We start from the raw sequence: 19,073 nt of genomic DNA, 5'->3' as shown, positions 1-19,073 counted from the left end.
TGAAGCCCTCCCTCCTTCTTGGAGCTTTCTGGAACTGGGTGTTCAGTACTACTTGACTCTGAAAAGGAGGAGGGGAGTCAATATTGGGATTGAGAACATGGTAGAATAGAGAGAGACACAAGCTCTTTACCCCTTCCATGGCAGCTATGGCATTAGTTATTTCAGTTAGACCATTATGTGGCATATGGAAGGGAGGGGAGGAGGAGAGTGAGGAGAGATGAGTCCATGACAGGAGTGGGACAATATGTAAATAATATCCTCCTTCTGAAACCAAGCACAGGAATAAATGTTTCACTTCCTTGAGAACATCTATTAGAAGAGCAGATTCTGGATTAATCATCTAATAGATTATGGAAATTAGCTTACCATCATGACAGGAACCTTTGTGGACAAACCTAAAAAACATATTATAGAATCTAGTCACCCATACAGTGTAAAATGTATAGAAAATTCAGAATCTGGAAATAAGAAACAGTATATCATTTAGGAAAATATATGTATGTAGTAAAACTATAAAGACATTTATAGAATGATTATCAAAATGATTAACAAAAATGTCATGCAAATGTTAGCTTAATGGGGTGTATCAGGCATGTGAGGTGATGTGAAAAGAAAGGATGCCTAGGAACTATATTTTTTAGCCAGGCGTGGGGGCAGGTGACTGTGATCCCAGCTACTCAGGAGGCTGAGGCAGAAGATCACTTGAACCTAGGAGGGAGAGGTTGCAGTGAGCTGAGACTGTGCCACTGCACTCCGGCCTGGGTGACAGAGCAAGACTCTGTCTCAAAAAAATAAATTAAAAAAAAAAAGAAAGAAACTATGTTTTATCACTACTGGTTGTTTCACAGATGTGGTTTTAATTAAAAAACAAACTATACCTCTTTTGAAAGTTGTAGTGAATTGTGTGATAGTTTTGAAATAAAGAGTATATGTAGACATTTTAATTTTATCACAGGAAGAGACAACCCACTAAAGCAGGCTCATATGTAGAATTGCAAATAACATGACTGGTGAGGACCAAGTAGACTATCTAATTATTTGGTTTAGGTAAAATCATTATCTACATAAGAAATTCACTTATATCTCATTGAATTCACAAAAAAATCCCATGAAGCTATTTTATTTTTTAAAAGCAACATATGCCGGGTCTATATGTTTTCTCTCTAACTTCTGGAATCTATTTTTATTTCCAACCTTTAGGAATATTTACATGTCTATAAGGAGTGTGAACATCAAAGTTTGAGTCCAAGACTCTACCTTTGGCCATATCTCCTTCAGGGCTAGCAAGCACATTCCTCTGTGTTTGGGAAGTCTAACCCATCCAAGATGGCATGAAAAGCAGATGCACCTCAGGGTCTAATCACAAGTCAACCCTCAACACATGAGCAGCTGCAGGGAATGAGGGAAGGCTGAGGGCTGTAACCAACTAAACAAATTTTGATGACATCTCCTGCCCTCCCCAAGGTTAGAGCTTAACGGAAGAAGTCACCACCCAGCAGCTCTGGAAACTCTGGACTTCCATGGAGATGGCTACCTGGTCCTCAGACACTTGAAGTCTGGTCGCCTCAGCTAGAGAGCCAAGACTAACCCATCTGAACTATCCTTATAAGGAAAAGTAGGCAGGGAGATGAGGCCACAGGATGGGAAAATATAACCATTTCCTCAACGAGGAAGGAGACTAATATTTCAGAAGAGCAGTTCTGCTCTACAACAGGTAAGCAGCCCTATGTCCTGTTATTGCCCAAACATAGTCTTATGCTCAAAGACACCATCCCAGCAGATGTTGGCTTGGTGATTATAAACTCTTCGGAAGCTCCAGTGGAACTGAGGAACCACGATCACCAACTACTCAAGAGTACAGCTATTCCTAACCACTACAATCATCTACTCTTCCATAGATACCACATCTTTGAGACTTACCTGGATGTCCTTGCTCTGCTGAACACTGACTCACCAGAAAATGACTGAAAATACTGAGAAAAAGTTTTTTCCTCTGCTCATACCACCCAAATACACCATTCTCTCCTCCCAGGTCAAGCCTTGAAAATATTGGTCTGGTTTTGTAGAATTTGCCAAGTCCACATTCTACCTGGAAACTGAACCTAGAATGGTAAAAAAACAGACAAACATAAATAACAAATGCCAGAAGTTGTTCTAAGTAGTGATGAAAATAATAGGGGATATGAAGGGGAGAATGTGAGGGAATGGCAGTTGTATTGAGGACAGAGTTGGAAATGTTTAAACTGAAGGCTGAGGACACTGCCCATTCAGATGAGTTGGATGTGGGTGGCTTTCTTGAAGGTGATAATTGAGTTGACACCAAAAAAAAAAAAAAAAATGAGAAGGAGGCAGCTATGAAAGAACCAAGTTTAACATATTCAGGTAAAAGGTAGAGCAAGTGCCAAAGAGATGTGGTGGGAGAAAACTTAGTGAGCTGCAGTAACAGGAAGGAAGACACAGTGGCTGGACCAGGGCATGCGGAAAGCAGTGATGTGAGAAACTGGACATGATTGTGCTCAGTGGTCAGTTTGCAGCTCTCTCCTCCTCTCTCATGCCACTTTGAGGTTAATTCGTTCCCCTACTCCTGGCCCCAGGATCATGGATGTGATTTCTGTCTTCTTGGAGTTTTAGGAACGTACACATTTCCAGGGTTACATACGTGGAATCCAACAGCACGTAGCTTTTGCAGTCTGGCCTCATTCACTTAGTGTAATGCATTTGTGATTCACCCTTGTTTTGTGTAGCAATGCTTTATTTATACTGCTGAGTAGTATCCCATTGTCTGTATATATCATAGTTAATACACCTCATGTGTTAATAATTTGTCAGAAACTGTACATTAATAATAAAACCACTGTATATTTGCCTTAGGATTAAAGAATTTTTTTTCTTACAATTCTACCAGATCACTGGAAGAATTTTTTTTTTTTTTTTAAAGTTTCCCATGTCTACTTCTTTCTACACAGACACGTCAACCATCCGATTTCTCAATCTTTTCCCCACCTTTCCCCCCTTTCTATTCCACAAAACCGCCATTGTCATCCCGGCCCGTTCTCAATGAGCTGTTGGGTACACCTCCCAGACGGGGTGGTGGCCGGGCAGAGGGGCTCCTCACTTCCCAGTAGGGGCGGCCGGGCAGAGGCGCCCCTCACCTCCCGGATGGGGTGGCTGGCCGGGCGGGGGGCTGACCCCCCAACCTCCCTCCCGGACAGGGCGGCTGGCCGGGCGGGGTGCTGATCCCCCCACCTCCCTCCCGGACGGGGCGGCTGGCCGGGCGGGGGGCTGACCCCACCACCTCCCTCCCGGACGGGGCGGCTGGCCCGGCAGAGGGGCTCCTCACTTCCCAGTAGGGGTGGCTGGGCAGAGGTGCCCCTCACCTCCCGGACGGGGCGGCTGGCCGGGGCGGGGGCTGACCCCCCCACCTCCCTCCCGGACGGGGCGGCTGCCGGGCGGAGACGCTCCTCACTTCCCAGACGGGGTGGCTGCCGGGCAGAGGGGCTCCTCACTTCTCAGACGGGGCGGCTGGGCAGAGGCGCTCCTCACATCCCAGACGGGGCGGCGGGGCAGAGGCGCTCCCCACATCTCAGACGATGGGCGGCCGGGCAGAGACGCTCCTCACTTCCCAGATGGGATGGCTGCCGGGAAGAGGCGCTCCTCACTTCCTAGATGGGATGGCGGCCGGGCAGAGACGCTCCTCACTTTCCAGACTGGGCAGCCAGGCAGAGGGGCTCCTCACGTCCCAGACGATGGGCGGCCAGGCAGAGACGCTCCTCACTTCCCAGACGGGGTGGCGGCCGGGCAGAGGCTGCAATCTCAGCACTTTGGGAGGCCAAGGCAGGCGGCTGGGAGATGGAGGTTGTAGCGAGCTGAGATCATGCCACTGCACTCCAGCCTGGGCAACATTGAGCACTGAGTGAACCAGACTCCGTCTGCAATCCCGGCACCTCGGGAGGCCGAGGCTGGCAGATCACTCGCGGTTAGGAGCTGGAGACCAGCCCGGCCAACACAGCGAAACCCCGTCTCCACCAAAAAAGTACGAAAACCAGTCAGGCGCGGTGGCGCGCGCCTGCAATCGCAGGCACTCGGCAGGCTGAGGCAGGAGAATCAGGCAGGGAGGTTGCAGTGAGCCGAGATGGCAGCAGTACAGTCCAGCTTCGGCTCGGCATCAGAGGGAGACCATGGCAAGAGAGGGAGAGGGAGACCGAGAGGGAGAGGGGAGAAGGGAGAGGGGAGAGGGGAGAGGGGAGAGGGGAGAGGGGAGAGGGGAGAGGGGAGAGGGGAGAGGGGAGAGGGGAGAGGGGAGAGGGGAGAGGGGAGAGGGGAGAGGGGAGAGGGGAGAGGGAGAGGGAGAGGCAGAGGCAGAGGCAGAGGCAGAGGCAGAGGCAGAGCTGGTCTTAAAGGGAGAAGAGCCGAATTTTTCTTAAAGACAGTTTTTCATTTCAATCAGGCAAATACCCAAGAATTATTATTTCAATTGGGTAAATGCCCAAGAATTATTAGTATTATTATTAATTATTATTCCACATTGGAGAATAATATATATATTATTCTACATTGGAGAATTATATACACACACACACACAAACACACACGTATATATTTGAGACAGGGTCTCCTTCTGTTGCCTAAGCTGGAGTGCAGTGGTGCCATCCTAGCTCACCACAACCTCCACCTCCCAGGATCAAGGAATCCTCCCACCTCAGCCTCCTAAGTAGCTAGGACCACAGGTGCAAGCCACCATACCTGGCTAGTTTTTTTTTTTTTTTGCGGAGACGAGTTTTGCCATGTTGCCCAGGCTAGTCTTGAACTCCTGAGCTCAAGCCATCTACCTGCCTAGGCCTTCCAAAGTTCTGGGATTACAGGCATGAGCCATCACATCCAGCCTGCATAACAATATGGAATAGGCACTTCGGGTTTGTTAGCATGAACTTTTGGTAAATTTTAATTTACAAATGACATTCACAAAAATTAACATGTAGTTGTACAGCTCAATGAATATTCCCAAAGTCAACACATCTCTAAAAGCAGTGTGCCAATCAAAAAAGAACAGTGTTAGTATACCAGCATTTCTTTTTTTTTTTCTTTTTTGAGACAGAGTCCCACTCTGTCACCAGGCTGGAGCGCAGTGGTGCAATCTCAGCTCACCGCAACCTCCGCCTCCCAGGTTCAAGCGATTCCCCTGCCTCAGCCTCCCGAGTAGCTGGGACTACAGGCACGCACCACTATGCCCGGCTAATTTTTTGTATTTTTAGTAGAGACGGGGTTTCACCATGTTGCCCAGGATGGTCTCGATCTCCTGACCTCGTGATCTGCCCACCTAGGCCTCCCAAAGTACTGGATTACAGGTGTGAGTCACTGCGCCCAGCCATACCAGCATTTCTGTAACCCCCGCTGTAAGTCATTCACCCATCAAGGAGGTCTAATTTGTGGCATGTCTGATTTCTTACATTGTCATCTAACATAGTTTTGCCTATTTTTCAGTTTGCATTCATTTGAATCTGGTAAATGCTCATCCACCTCCTTCATTAGAATTCTGTCAGGATGATTACTAGAATTTAGAGCTGTATGTACTGCATATGGCTTAGAATATATGTCTGATGAGAAATGACTCACAAGGATGTGTGGATAGCAGTACAATTATTGTTTTTTTAAAAAGACTGTGCAATGTGCAATGGCCCATCCTTCATTGAGCCTTAGGGCTTCTGTGAAGTCCTGCTCCTTTTGTTTTTTAGCTTGGCTTCCGTCTTGGGATTGAGACAACAAGGATGTTCTAGTTTCAAAGCACAGGAAAACAAAATCATTGGCTTTAAATGGAATAGGAATTATATGAGATTTTTATTTGAGAATTCTTTTTAAAAAAATTTTGAGAATTCCTAATTGAACACCATCCATCTGCATATTGGATTAAACAGTTACTCTAAATGTACCAAGATTGCACTCTCACATAAATGGCACATGGCTATGCTCTCTCTGCTGGGAAGTGGACTCAGACCCTCACTGAGCTTTCATGTTCCATGAAGTGTGAAGGGCAGCACCAAATCGATAACATGGTTGTGAATCTCCTGTTCGCTGGCCTAGGTCTGCAAGGAAATGATTTTAGTTCTTGCTGTAAAGGAGAGAGGAGGAAGAGAATGTGGATTGAGTCAGGGGCATTACAGGAGTCCTCTGCTGAGGAAGAAATCCTAGGGGCTGGACAGTAGCAATGAGCCTGACAAAAAAGACAACATAGAAATTACTGGTGGGACCACTGAAAATGCAGGACAGGTTATAACCCTAAACCATGTTATAACACTAAAGTTTGGAGGGAAGCCCTTCCCCCTCTAGCCACCAACATGCTTCTGATTCTCCCAAATAGAACCTGATTTGTGTTGAAGTCATCTTCTGCATGATATGTGGAGAATGAACTAAAGTAGAGAAAAAACTGATGTAGGATACAAGGCAGAAGGCATTGTGTAGCTCAGGAATGTTGGCAGATTGGCCCAAGGGCATGAAATTGGAGGTGTTGAGAAGAAGATGACCTGAGACATATTAGGAGGCAGAGGTAACAGGATATGTGGGTGGTTGGGATGATACGGTGAGGCTCAGGCAATAACATTTCACCTATCAAACCCTCTGTATTTGTGGGCCAGCAGGACTTTTCCTGTTTTGATTCTTGATTGGCATCCAAGGAACCCACGTTTAGGGAATAAATGAAGCTGAAGGTTCATGTTTCTGTGGTGAAGAAAAGGCAAGACACATTCTTGTCCTCATGTCAGCTGCCTGGGACATTGAATTTTTCATAGCCTTGTTTGTCTAACATAGAAAGGGCTCTGAACCTACCCAGATAGATGACCTAGGGTAGGAGGCCATGCTGGGAAGTAGTTAGTCATGGCTCCTTGGACTCCATTGCCAACTATGCCACTTAACAGCTACAGCTGAAAATAAATTATAGACCCAAGAAACCTCAGTTTCCTCATATTAATTTAGGTGACAAATCCACTTTACAGGGCAAAAGTGCGTAGTGTTTATAAAAGGTCTGATAGAATGTCTAGGATATGGACATTATTAAATGTAAATTATTGTCATCCTTATCCCACCCCTGTATGAATAACCAGAAGATGCTGATGATATGCAGTTCCCTGATGACATCTCAGCCCAGTTGGGTGAGTCAAGGGCCTGGTAACCTTCAAGCGTAGGTCTTGGTTTCTCTAAAGCAGATTTTGGACGTTTCTAACTACAACATGATTCTTTTCTTACTGACAGAGTAGGGAGTCTGGGAATGTTAGTTGTGCTTTCAATCACAATTCAAATTCTGTGGAAATTCACTGAAGAAAAGAGAATACCTCGTGAAGCGTGTTTTGGTCCATCAAAAATTACTAACTGCTTATTTGAGTATTTATTGCATAGTCATTTAGGTTTTGCAAAAGTTGTCAAAACCAAAATGAGTAACTTGTGTAAAATAAATAAATAAGTAAATAAATAAATAAAGCCAGGAGGCTGAGAAAAGAGGGCACTCAAACACACATGCTTAAGATAAGAGCTATTACTGTCTCTGAGGGCTCTTAATGCACATATTCCCGTTAAAAGAAGTTTTGACAAGAACTTCTCAAACCGCAGCTTGCTACAGGAGTTACAAGGACAGCTCTAGATGTAGTAGAACACTTGCCTGACAGATTGTCTCCACTAATGAACTGGTGTTAACCTCTGCCATAAACATCTGTGACCAATGTTCTTTTTATCTCAAAACAAATTATATATACTTTTCCCTTTTGCCTTTGAAAGCTTCTCCTTGTTTCAAGCTCTCTGGATATGCCTATAGTCCCTATAGCCTGCATGTCCTGGATTTGCAAATCCCCTGTGCATTCCTGAATGAACTCAACATCTTTGAAGAATCTCTGTTATTTAGGTTGACAGTTTAAATATATCCTACATTGTGCTTTTCTTTGCCTCACTTCTTCCACTTATTTTACTATTATTTTACCTTTCTATTGATTATTTATTTATATTCCAAACATTTCCTCTTCTAGTTTGAAAAGTATATACGCTGACTGTATTTATTATATTTAGGCTAAAAATTACAAACGTTTAACACATTAGCGTGCCATACAGGATTGTAATACATTTGCTTTCCACTTGGAAATATAAAAAATTTAAAACTTTGAGCAACTAGCCTCCTTTCAATTTATATGTAGTTGAGGTTACGCACGGGAATTCCATCATTCTAACTCAATAAGTATATCTACTTATGTTTTACACTGTAATATGCTGTTATTTTAATCAAAAGATGCACTTCTTTTCATCTTCATTTCTTCTCTCATTGCAGACTTTTCACCTGAGATCAACTTTCTTTGGCCTTGAGTATTATTTTAAACATTATTTTTTGTGTAAATGTATTTCCATTACATTTATCATTTTTGGTTTCAAATAGTTTTATATCACACTTCCATAAAAGACATTTTGTTGTGTATAGACATCTAGTTTGGTGGTTATTTCTTCTTTACAGAAAGTGTTCATGTTGCCCTTTTCATTGCCATATGACATTTGATGAATTCTGTCTTTTCAGACACTTGTAAAACACTTAAAATATTGAATACATCTCTGTATATGGAGTATGAAATACTATCTTGAACAAGAGTATTACTTGTTGGGTTTGACACAATCACTGCTGTATAAGCAGGATAAATATTTTCTGAGGTAACAGACAGAAGGGTTATTCACTTACTTCAAGGCCACCAAACATCCCCACTCCACGTTCCACATCATGGTGTCTGGAGTCTTTTCTTTCTTGTGCCTGACAGAAAATGCTGAGGCTCGCCAAACTAACTCTGGAGCATCAGGCTACACGCATTTGAAAACAATATTTGTTAACTTCCAGCCATAGAAATCTGAGTGACGTCAGTGTATGGTGTGTCCATTTTATTTTTTGATGAGCATTCTCTGCGTAAGGAAGGCTGAAATCATGTCTCTAAACATTCCTTTGATGTCAAACACGACGTTCACCAGAAATACAGATATGGCTCCTTCAAGAGGAAGCTAAGCTCCGTCTGGGCCTTGGAGACGAGGGACACCATTTCCACGCGCCCCTGGCGGTCTTCTCTGGGCTTTTAACCTGGAGGTGAAGCGAGACGCCGCTTACTAGTGTTGGTGCCGTGGGAACTACATTACCCAGGAAACTTGGCGGCTCTGGGCCAATGAAAACCCAGGAAATAGGCGTTTCCGTTGGTCCTCACCAACGTCAGGGCGGGACTTCCTCTACCATCCTCGGGTGGACATTTTGTTTGCTTTTCCATTAATCCACTGGTTTAGTTTCCAGAACGCAATGTCAGACCTGAGGTGACAGAAAAGGGAAAACGTGAGAGAGTGTCTTCTTCCCTGAAGAGAGGTGGGCCTGAGGCTTGACAGTGGCGCTGCCTGAGTGACCTAGCCGCTGGGCTGGGCCCTGGACAGCTGATCCCAGGTTCCTGCACTTGTCGCCACCCTTCCGTAGTCCACAGGCCTGATGGCGGCGGCTGAGCCGATGGGCCCGGCACAGGTGGGTGCTGCGTCTGCGAGTCTGCGCGCTGACCCCCATCTCTGAATCCCAAAGCTTCGAATGAACGATTCCTCGGGTTACTGCAGCTCAGGCCCCTGTATCTAGAACAGTGGGGGCGCTCGTGTTTGGGACCCATTTTGACAGCACGAGTTGAAGGACGTTCCAGGCAGAGAGACCAGTGTATGCAAAGGCTCAGAGATGGTTCACAGCTGGAGCATTTGGGAAAACTGGGCCTTTAGTGTCTGAAAGGATCAGAGCGCTTTATAAGTGATTGCACCTGGAATATCATCCTGAGCAGCTGGGTCTCTATTCTGAGGGTGATGGGAGCCATGGAAGGTTCTGAACAGAGGAGAGCCAGAATCCGAGGGTTTAAAAAGTATTCCATAGACTGCTCATGGAGGGCAGACTCTTGTTGGCCATGGGGGCGGATAATGAGCACTGTTCCGAGCTAACACAGTTAAGAGGTATCCTTGAAGATGGAAGCACAGAGGGTAGACATTCAGCTCCCAGGCACATTGTAACTGGGTAGGAATATGGGATGGGGTTGAGCCTTTGGGGTTCCTTCAAGATTGCTTGACTCGCATAGTCTCCCTCTTCCCCACAGGTTCCCATGAACTCAGAAGTAATTGTGGACCCTATACAGGTGAGGGGAGAATGTCCATGCTCTCACCGATCCCACCCCCACCCAATACGCTCTCCAGCATTGTGGTGTTATATAGAACACTCTCCTGCTACTCTCCGATCTCTTGGGTCTGAGGACTCTGGAGAAGCCCCAAGCCCAGGGTCCTGACTCCGGGCCAGGGGTTTTATGGAGGGGTTTCCATTTCTGCCAACCATTGGAATAAGGTTGGAAGGTTGTTCCAGGCACAGGAACCAGCCTGTGCAAAATACTTAGAGGTGAGACTGAGAAGGGAGTTTTCAAGAAATTGCAGGTCTCTGTCATGTCTGGTGGGAACCAAGAGCAAGGGGGCGGGAATCATCCTGAAATGGCTTAAAGATGATTATGTAGATTGGGAGTTAAAAGAGAATATTCATTTCACAGTGGTAGTGCATTTAGTGAGCCAGGAAAGTGATGGTGGAGAGCCAGAGTTGTGAGATAACTGTGATCCAAAGAGTGATGTACATATGGAAAGAAGTGTAGACTGATGACGTCTGGGCTTAAAGGAGAAAGGCAAGCCCATCTTTGGTTGTCTGGTAAGCATGATGTTAGTGACCCCAGAGGAATTTGCTTACAGAAGGGTGAGGCCCTGTATGCTAAGCACAGAGCTTAGAGGGTGACAACTTCTTCACCTGCCTGTGGTTGCTATGGGTAGACACAGTGATCCATTGGGACCATGAGGCGAGAGAAGACACCAATGACATCTGGTCCTGATATTTCCTGAGTTGAGGAGTTAGGTAGGAGGGTGTACAGGAGGGAGATGTGTGGGGGCACGGATGGGGGTTCTTGGGAGAGATGCTGCTCATGGACTTGGCTCTCCTGATTGTGGCAGGGGCAGGTGAACTTTGAGGACGTGTTCGTGTACTTCTCCCAGGAGGAGTGGGTGCTCCTTGATGAGGCTCAGAGGCTCCTGTACCGTGATGTGATGCTGGAGAACTTTGCACTTATGGCCTCTCTGGGTAAGGCCGTCACATCCACCCCAGTGACTTGGACTGGGTCCTGCCCTTCCCCTTTTTTTCAGGGCATCTTTGTCCTTCCTACATCAGAGCCGTGGACACTGTCTCATTTCTTAGTGCCTGGAGTAGGTTCTGTGAGTGCTGGGCTTGGGCTGTTTGCACTCCTACTTTCTCCTTTTGAGCATTCCCAGCGCTTGCTGTCTCAGAGCCTTGCAGGCATGGATTCAGGAGTTATGCATTGTATTGTCAGCCCAGTGGGTCATATCCATCTTGTCCTTTCCCTGTCTGAATTCCTCTGTCTGTATCCATGACACCTCTGTGCCTGGGATTCTGCGCTCTTCCTTTAGCTGACATTTCCTGTGGCCTGCCTATGTCAGGAATTGTAGGGACCATTATGGTCGCTACTTGCTAGGACCACTGCACTATTCCTGCAAGACCTTACTCTGAGATTATTTTAATAATATTTAGTTTTCTATATGGGTTACCCAGACCAGTGCTGTTCTATCTTTCCCTTAGGACATACATCTTTCATGTCCCACATAGTTGCCTCACTGGTGATGGGTAGTGAGCCCTGGGTACCTGACTGGGTGGACATGACCCTAGCTGTTGCCACAGAGACTCCAGGTGGGAGTGACCCTGGTGAGTAGGAGCTGGGGAAAGGTGTGATGTCAGGGCTGGGTTCATATCATTCCATAGCCTCTTTGTGCCTACAGTTGTATTAGTGCTAAGGCCACTGGCCTTTCATACTCTGGCCTTTGGCCTCTGGATGTTCCATACCTCTGCCTTCATGTCTCACCTGTTCCTCTCCATGGCTTGTTCTACAGTGCCTTCCAGCATTGGCCTGTACTTAGTGTTTCATGAGATGTGTAGCCCAAATAGTCCTTAAACACCAACTACTGAGTAGCAATTTGATTTTCTTTGGTATGGACCATAACCTTCTGCACAACTCTCACCTGTCCCCAGCAGCCAAGAAAATCTGATTGTGAATGACTTTGAGACCTGCCTCTTTTTTGTGCTGTACCCCACATCTTTGTCCTCTCCCAGTTGAGGCCTTCTCCATTCTATGACATTTAGATGCCAACTACCGTATAGTACACATTTGCTGAACTTGAGTTTGGACCCTTGTCCTAACAACAGTCCTATGACCTTGGTCTTAGTTGTGTTAGACACATATTTGTAGTGAGGCTTCCCCTCTTCCACCTGTGTCAATTTGTACTTCACCAGCATTTCTCTGCTTTCAGGTTGTTGGCATGGAATGGAGGATGAAGAGATACCTTTTGAGCAGAGCTTTTCTATAGGAATGTCACAGATCAGGATTCCCAAGGGAGGTCCTTCTACTCAGAAGGCTTACCCCTGTGGGACATGTGGCCTGGTCTTAAAAGACATTTTGCACTTGGCTGAGCACCAGGAAACACACCCAGGGCAGAAACCATACATGTGTGTGCTGTGTGGGAAACAGTTCTGCTTCAGTGCAAACCTTCACCAGCACCAGAAGCAGCACAGTGGAGAGAAACCCTTTAGAAGTGATAAGAGCAGGCCCTTTCTTCTGAACAACTGTGCTGTGCAATCAATGGAGATGTCTTTTGTGACAGGGGAGGCTTGTAAGGACTTCCTAGCCAGCTCAAGCATTTTCGAGCACCATGCCCCTCACAATGAGTGGAAGCCACACAGCAACACCAAGTGTGAGGAGGCCTCTCACTGTGGAAAAAGGCATTACAAATGCAGTGAATGTGGGAAAACCTTCAGCCGCAAAGACTCACTTGTTCAACACCAGAGAGTCCACACTGGAGAAAGGCCTTATGAGTGCGGTGAATGTGGGAAAACCTTTAGCCGCAAACCCATACTTGCTCAGCACCAGAGAATCCACACTGGAGAAATGCCTTATGAGTGTGGCATATGTGGGAAAGTTTTTAATCATAGCTCTAACCTTATTGTACATCAAAGAGTACACACTGGAGCAAGGCCTTACAAGTGCAGTGAATGTGGGAAAGCCTATAGTCACAAATCTACACTTGTTCAGCATGAGAGTATCCATACTGGAGAAAGGCCATATGAGTGCAGCGAATGTGGAAAATACTTTGGTCACAAATACAGACTCATTAAACATTGGAGTGTTCATACTGGAGCAAGGCCTTATGAGTGCATCGCATGTGGGAAGTTCTTTAGCCAAAGCTCTGACCTTATTGCACATCAAAGAGTTCATAATGGTGAAAAGCCTTATGTGTGCAGTGAATGTGGAAAAGCCTTTAGCCACAAACATGTACTTGTTCAGCATCATAGAATTCACACTGGAGAAAGGCCATATAAGTGCAGTGAATGTGGGAAGGCCTTCAGGCAGAGGGCTTCCCTCATCCGCCACTGGAAAATTCACACTGGAGAAAGGCCTTAGGATGGGAGATAATTCCGTTTCCTTGTTCAACATAATAACTGACATCAGAGAGAAGCTCCAAGCATAGCCTTTATGTGTAGCCGACAGCCAGAAGTAGAACTTTATACACTCAAACACTCACCCTGGGGAGGTTCTTCCGAGTGCCAGCTATATGGGAAGCCTTCTGGAGCTATGCTGAATTTTCTAGACTCTTGCTGGAATTTCGTCAAGGCAGTGCCTGTTAGAAGCCATCTGTCTTTGTGCTGGAAGAGTCCTGCCTTGTGCCAAAGTAACCCCAATGTGTTTCAAAAGACAGACCTCTGTACTATTCCCTTCCCTGGAGGGAATCATCAGTAGCCTGAGGCCATCAAGGATTCTCACTTTTTTTCTGCCCCACTACTGGTTTAAGCATGAGCATGACCCAGTTTTAGCCAGAAAAATGGGAGCTTTGTTCTGCTGACCACTGGCAGAGGTTTCCCTTCATGGATATAGTTGATCTCACATGGCACTTGGGACGAATTTTTCTAGCCTTCAAGACACCTGACCTGAAATTGGCTGCCTCATATTCTGGTTTTGCAACAAATGCCTTAATTTTTAGACTATCTGAAATCTTGAGGATTCTGTTCGCTTTGTGGGTTGGGTTGAGAACAGAATTGAGCTAAGCCAGTATGAAGGGAAGAACAGCTTTTGTGAGAGCTCCAACTATCTGTATCTCTGAAGTGATAGTAGGATGGCAAAGACTAGCTCTTATGCTAGTGTCAAGCTAACTTACTTGACTGCTTCAGCTCTCCTAGGAAAGAATGCCAGTCTTTGTAGGCCTAATCTTTTGGTCTATATGTTAAGATTTTTTGTGTAATTGAGGTCACCCTAAGCAGTGGGCATTTGTTGTGATAATCTCTAATGTGTCTGGGAGCAACATGAATTACGTCCCTTGTTCCCAGAAGATACTTCATATTCCCAAGGCTTCTTGAGGAGAATTTGAACTCAGTGGACATGTCAAGATCTCTGAAGTCTATTTTTCAGTAGGCAGTTGATATTGGCTGTCCTCCAGAAGGCCCAGGTAGGAATCATAGTTGGTGCAGAAACCCAGATTAATAAAGGAATGAGAAAACTGCAGCAAACTATAGGGAATATGACCCTTCTAAAGGTACATCCACATGTGTTTCCATTACTCTGGCTCCATTATGAGGGTTTACAGAAATATTTCCATACCTGTGTCTCTTATGGCTAAGGTTACTGTCCAGAAGTCAGTCTAAACATTTTTGCAATAAACTGCACATATTTATAGTGTACCATTTGATAAGTTTTGATACATGTTGGCACTTCTCAAACCAAAAGTTTCCTGATTCCTTTTATATTTTCTCCCTTTCCTTCACCCATCCCCAGGCAACTATTGATCCGTTGTCACTGTAGATTTGTTTGTATTTCCTAGAATTCTACAGAGATAGAGTAATTTAATATGTATTCTAATGTTTTTGGCTTCTTAAACTCTGAAATTAAGGCTCATGGTGGTGTTCTGTGTTTCATAGTTCATTTCTTTTCATTTGTACTTTGCTAAGAGTGTTCCATTGTAGAGAAATAGTTTCAAAGCAAGTGATCCAGGAGAGAACTCACACAAGAACAAAGCCACAGTATCTGTCATTACCTTAAACTGAAAGTGATGAGCCGTCATTTCTGCTATATTTCATAAGTAACCCTAGCTAATCCTGGTTAAAAGTGGAAGAGAACTACACAAAGGTGAAAATAGGGATTTGTGGGGCGTTTTCTTGGACTCTGGTGACCATAATCCTATATGGTTTTTTTCTTTTTCTGTTTTAGTTGTTTAATATGAATTACATTGACTGATTTTTTTAAATGTTAAGCCAACCTTGCATTTCTGTAATAATTCCCATTTGGTCATGATGTATTAGTCATTTAGTATATTGTTGAATTTGATTTGCTATTTTGTTTTGTTTTGTTTTGTTTTTTTGTAACAAGTTTTGCACCAATGTTCACGAGTGATATTTGTCCCTAACTTTCTTTCTTGCTTGCTTGCTTTTTTTTCTTTGTAATTTTATATCTTGCCCAGGTTTGGCTTTGGTATCAGCATAATGCCAGCTTTATAGAGTAAGTTGGGAAGTATTCCTGCTCTTCAGCTCTCTGGAAGAGTTTGTGAATAATTGGTATTATTTCTTCCTTAAATGTTTGGTAGAATTCACCAAGGAAGCTGTCTGGGCCTGGAGTTTGTTTTGTAGGAAAGTTTCTAACTATAAGTTTGATTTCTGTGGTAGATAGAGGGCTGTACAAGTTATATGTACATCTGTCTGTGTGTGTGTTGTCTGTCTGTCACTCTGGCCCTGAAGTGTGTTTTGTAGGACAGCATCTAACTACAAGTTTGATTTCCATGGTAGATGGAGGGCTATACTAGTTATATATACATCTGTCTGTCCGTCCATCTGTTTGTCACTCCATCCATCCATCTATCTCTAGAGTGAGCTTTGATGGTTTGTGTCTTTCAAGGAGTTTTTCTGTTTTATTTAAGTACTCAAATTTTTCAAAATATTATTTTCATACTTGTAGAATTTGTAGTGGTGCAACCTCTTCTATTCCTGATACTGGTAATGTCTATATTTTTCTTTTAACCTTGATTGGTTTGGGTAGAGATTTATCAATTTTACAATTTTATTGATCTTAAAGTACTTGGTATTATTGAATTTTCTGTTTTCTGATATTTTGGGATTTTTCTTTTCCATTTTGAGTTTTACTAATGCCTTCCGCTTTTATTGGATTTCATTTCTTTTGCTACTTTTTAACATGGAAGCTGAGGTCCTTCATTTCAAACCTTTGGGTTTTTTTCCCCTAATATGGGGAAGAGATGTTAATGTTAAAAATCTATCTGAGAACTGCTTTAATTACCTCCCATCAAGCTTGATGTGGTTTCATTTTTTTTTTTGAGACAGTGTCTTGCTCTGTCATCCAGGTTGGAGTGCAGTGGCGCGATCTCGGCTCACTGCAAGCTCTGCCTCCTGGGTTCACACCATTCTCCTGCCTCAGCCTCCCGAGTAGCTTGGACTACAGGCGCCTGCCACCATGCCTGGCTAATTTTTTGTATTTTTAGTAGAGACGAGGTTTCACCGTGTTAGCCAGGATGGTCTCGATCTCCTGATCTTGTGATCCGCCTGCCTCAGCCTCCCAAAGTGCTGGGATTACAGGCGTGAGCCCAGCCGATGTGGTTTCATTTTAGTTGAGTTTAGGATGTTTTCCAGTTAAAAAAATTCTTCTTGACACATGGCTCTTTTTAAATGTATGTTATTTAATTCCTAAATATTTGGGGATTTTGCTTATCTTTCTGGTAGTTTCTGCAATAATTCCATTGTGGTCAGAGTACATTAAGACTTGAATTATTTACATTTATTGAGATTTGCTTTGTGGCCCAGAATATGGGCTATCTTGGTATGAGTTACATGTTCACTTGAAATGTATACTGTACTCTCGTTTGATGAAGGGGTTCTACAAGTGTTGATTAGGTAAAAATGGTTGATGTTATTTAAGTTTTTTCTATCTTTATTGACATTCTGTGGTTTTGGTTCCAGCAATTATTTTAAGAGGATTGTTGACATCTCTGAATATTAAATTGGATTTACTTCTCTGCAGTTCTGTCAGATTTTGCTTCACATATTTTAGTATGTTTTTATTAGGTGAATAATAAATATTTCCTATTTTATGTCCACTTGATGTGTTGACCACTTTATCATTATGATCCTGTTAATCTCTGGTAATATTCTTTCTCTAAAATCTCCCTTGTCTGATACTGTTAACATGGTTTAATTTTGAATGGACACTGAATTTTAGGTACTGATTTTTTTTTAATTTTCTATAGATATTCTTGATTTCTTTTTTCTGTTACATGGTTAAGTTACTTGGAAACAATATGATCTTTTGGGGAGTCTTGATTCTAAACATTTCTCGATGAGATTATTGCAGCATACATTTTAAGACAAATTCCCCTCCCATTACTGAGACACAACCTTCCTATATTCTCTACCTAATGCTTCATGAGTTATGAGTTTTTTTTACTCAAGCTGGTTGAAATGAGAACTATCATGTTTTCTGTATAAGCCTTGGGAATTGCTTCCCGTATAATCCTTTCAGGTGGTTCTTTACCCATCCTCTGGTCTTTTTCTATATGCAAACACAGATTATACTCAGCTGAATACTTGGGGATGGCCCTCTATATCTCTGAAGTTTTTTCTCTCCTGTACTCTGCTCTGTAGACTCCAGCTACCTTGGCAAACCGAGACTCTTAGCTATGTCTCCTTAACACAGGATGACTTTTGGGCTCTGAGCTCTCCATCTTTGTACTAGGGCCTCAGAATTAATTTTCACAGTAACCTTATTTAGTTTTTTCTTTTTTGAGAAAATCTATGAACCCATGTTTTTTCTTTCTGATATAGTGGAAGGTCTATCAATTTTAATAATTTATTCAAGGTGTCTCCTTTTTTTAATCAGAAAGAACGTAAATCACATATTACAGATAGGAGCAATGAAACATAGTATAGTACTAGATAACTTTGAAACATATAATGGATAATGTGTGATTGTTTTAAACAACCCTTTCTCAGTAAGTTGAAACTTGGAAAACAAAAATCCATTGAAAGATACCAACTGACCAGGCTCACTCGAGATCTGAAAAATCCTCTACTAAAGATATTTAATACATATATCTATATATCTCTTAGAGAGAAAGAATAAGTCATATTCTAGTGAGATTTGTTAGGATTTTTTTTTTTTTTGAGACGGAGTCTCCCTCTATTGCCAGGCTGGAGTGCAGTGGCGCGATCTCAGCTCACTGTAACGTCCGCCTCCTGGGTTCAAGCAATTCTCCTGCCTCATCATCCTGAGTAGCCGGGATTACAGGTGCACGCCACCATGCCCAGCTAATTTTTGTATTTTTTGTAGACACAGGGTTTCATCATGTTGGCCAGGATGGCCTTAATCTCTTGACCTCATGATTTGCCTGCCTCGGCCTCCCAAAGTGCTGGGATTACAGGCGTGAGCCACCGCACCCAGCCTTGAGATTTGTTAGGATCTTAAAGTTGGTTTAACAGTAGAAAATCTATTAATTATTATATTAAATACAGTCTGTGGTGTAATAAAAAATATATCTGGATCTTTGTCCCAGGCTTAGTACTACAAAAATCTTGTAATTCTTTGAGTGAGAGAAGTGTATTTTTTATACTAACGAAGTGATTCATTATAGGCTCCTAGAAAGGTTCAGAATGGGGGCTCTTCATCAGAAAGACCAACCATGTAATAAGAGGGTTGAAACTTTGAGCCAGATTGACCTTTGGGGAGAGGAAAGGAACTAGAGATTGAAGTCAGCCATGTGGTTGTGATTTAATCACAGCTACAAAATGAGATACCCCCTCCTCGTTCCTCCCTACCAACTTAGAACTCTTGACGCAGAGGCTTGGTGGAGTTTCCTGGTTGGTGAACATGTTGATGTACCAGGAGGGTGATGTGCCTTGACTTTGTGGGGAGAAGGTATGGAAACTTCACATCTAACCAATAACTAGAACACTTAAAAAAAATTCTCAAATG

The 19,073-nt window shown here is 43.6% G+C and overlaps 1 protein-coding gene across 8 annotated transcripts, besides 3 other annotated features; it reads left to right on the top strand.

Moving 5' to 3' along the window:
• Positions 8,708–9,907: an enhancer, noted in NCBI's record as "MED14-independent group 3 enhancer chr19:57988249-57989448 (GRCh37/hg19 assembly coordinates)". NCBI's record gives its function as "activates an origin of replication core promoter dependent on BRD2, BRD4, P300/CBP and CDK7 cofactors, and independent of MED14, by STARR-seq in HCT116 cells {active_cell/tissue: HCT116}" and the evidence as "EXISTENCE:reporter gene assay evidence [ECO:0000049][PMID:35650434]".
• Positions 8,708–10,021: a biological region, named in NCBI's record as "MED14-independent group 3 enhancer GRCh37_chr19:57988249-57989448".
• On the top strand, positions 9,222–17,202 carry ZNF772 (zinc finger protein 772). Of its 8 annotated transcripts, none has more exons than NM_001024596.3 (5): positions 9,222–9,511; positions 10,116–10,154; positions 11,002–11,128; positions 11,642–11,764; positions 12,367–17,202. In NM_001024596.3, exons 1-5 carry the CDS (start codon positions 9,479–9,481, stop codon positions 13,512–13,514), a joined length of 1,470 nt encoding a protein of 489 aa, NP_001019767.1. In that variant the 5' UTR covers positions 9,222–9,478; the 3' UTR covers positions 13,515–17,202. The 8 variants fall into 8 exon arrangements, with proteins under 8 accessions (NP_001019767.1, NP_001426146.1, NP_001137540.1 ...); NM_001439217.1 differs by having other exon boundaries at positions 10,116–10,408; NM_001144068.2 differs by lacking the exon at positions 11,642–11,764.
• Positions 9,498–10,021: an enhancer, noted in NCBI's record as "H3K27ac-H3K4me1 hESC enhancer chr19:57988135-57988658 (GRCh37/hg19 assembly coordinates)". NCBI's record gives its function as "activates a minimal SCP1, AML or CMV promoter by ChIP-STARR-seq in naive H9 embryonic stem cells {active_cell/tissue: H9 hESC(naive)}" and the evidence as "EXISTENCE:reporter gene assay evidence [ECO:0000049][PMID:30033119]".

This window comes from Homo sapiens, chromosome 19 (assembly GCF_000001405.40).
Source record: "Homo sapiens chromosome 19, GRCh38.p14 Primary Assembly".
Lineage (NCBI taxonomy): Eukaryota > Metazoa > Chordata > Mammalia > Primates > Hominidae > Homo > Homo sapiens.
The sequence above is the reverse complement of the archived record's forward strand: the minus strand, read 5'-3'. Positions and strand labels throughout refer to the sequence as shown.

Coding starts and splice junctions, on each gene's coding strand:
- ZNF772 (NM_001024596.3), top strand. CDS start 9,479: ATGGCGGCGGCTGAGCCGATGGGCCCGGCACAG. Junction 9,512..10,115: donor AGCCGATGGGCCCGGCACAG/GTGGGTGCTGCG, acceptor TCTTCCCCACAG/GTTCCCATGAACTCAGAAGT. Junction 10,155..11,001: donor TAATTGTGGACCCTATACAG/GTGAGGGGAGAA, acceptor TGATTGTGGCAG/GGGCAGGTGAACTTTGAGGA.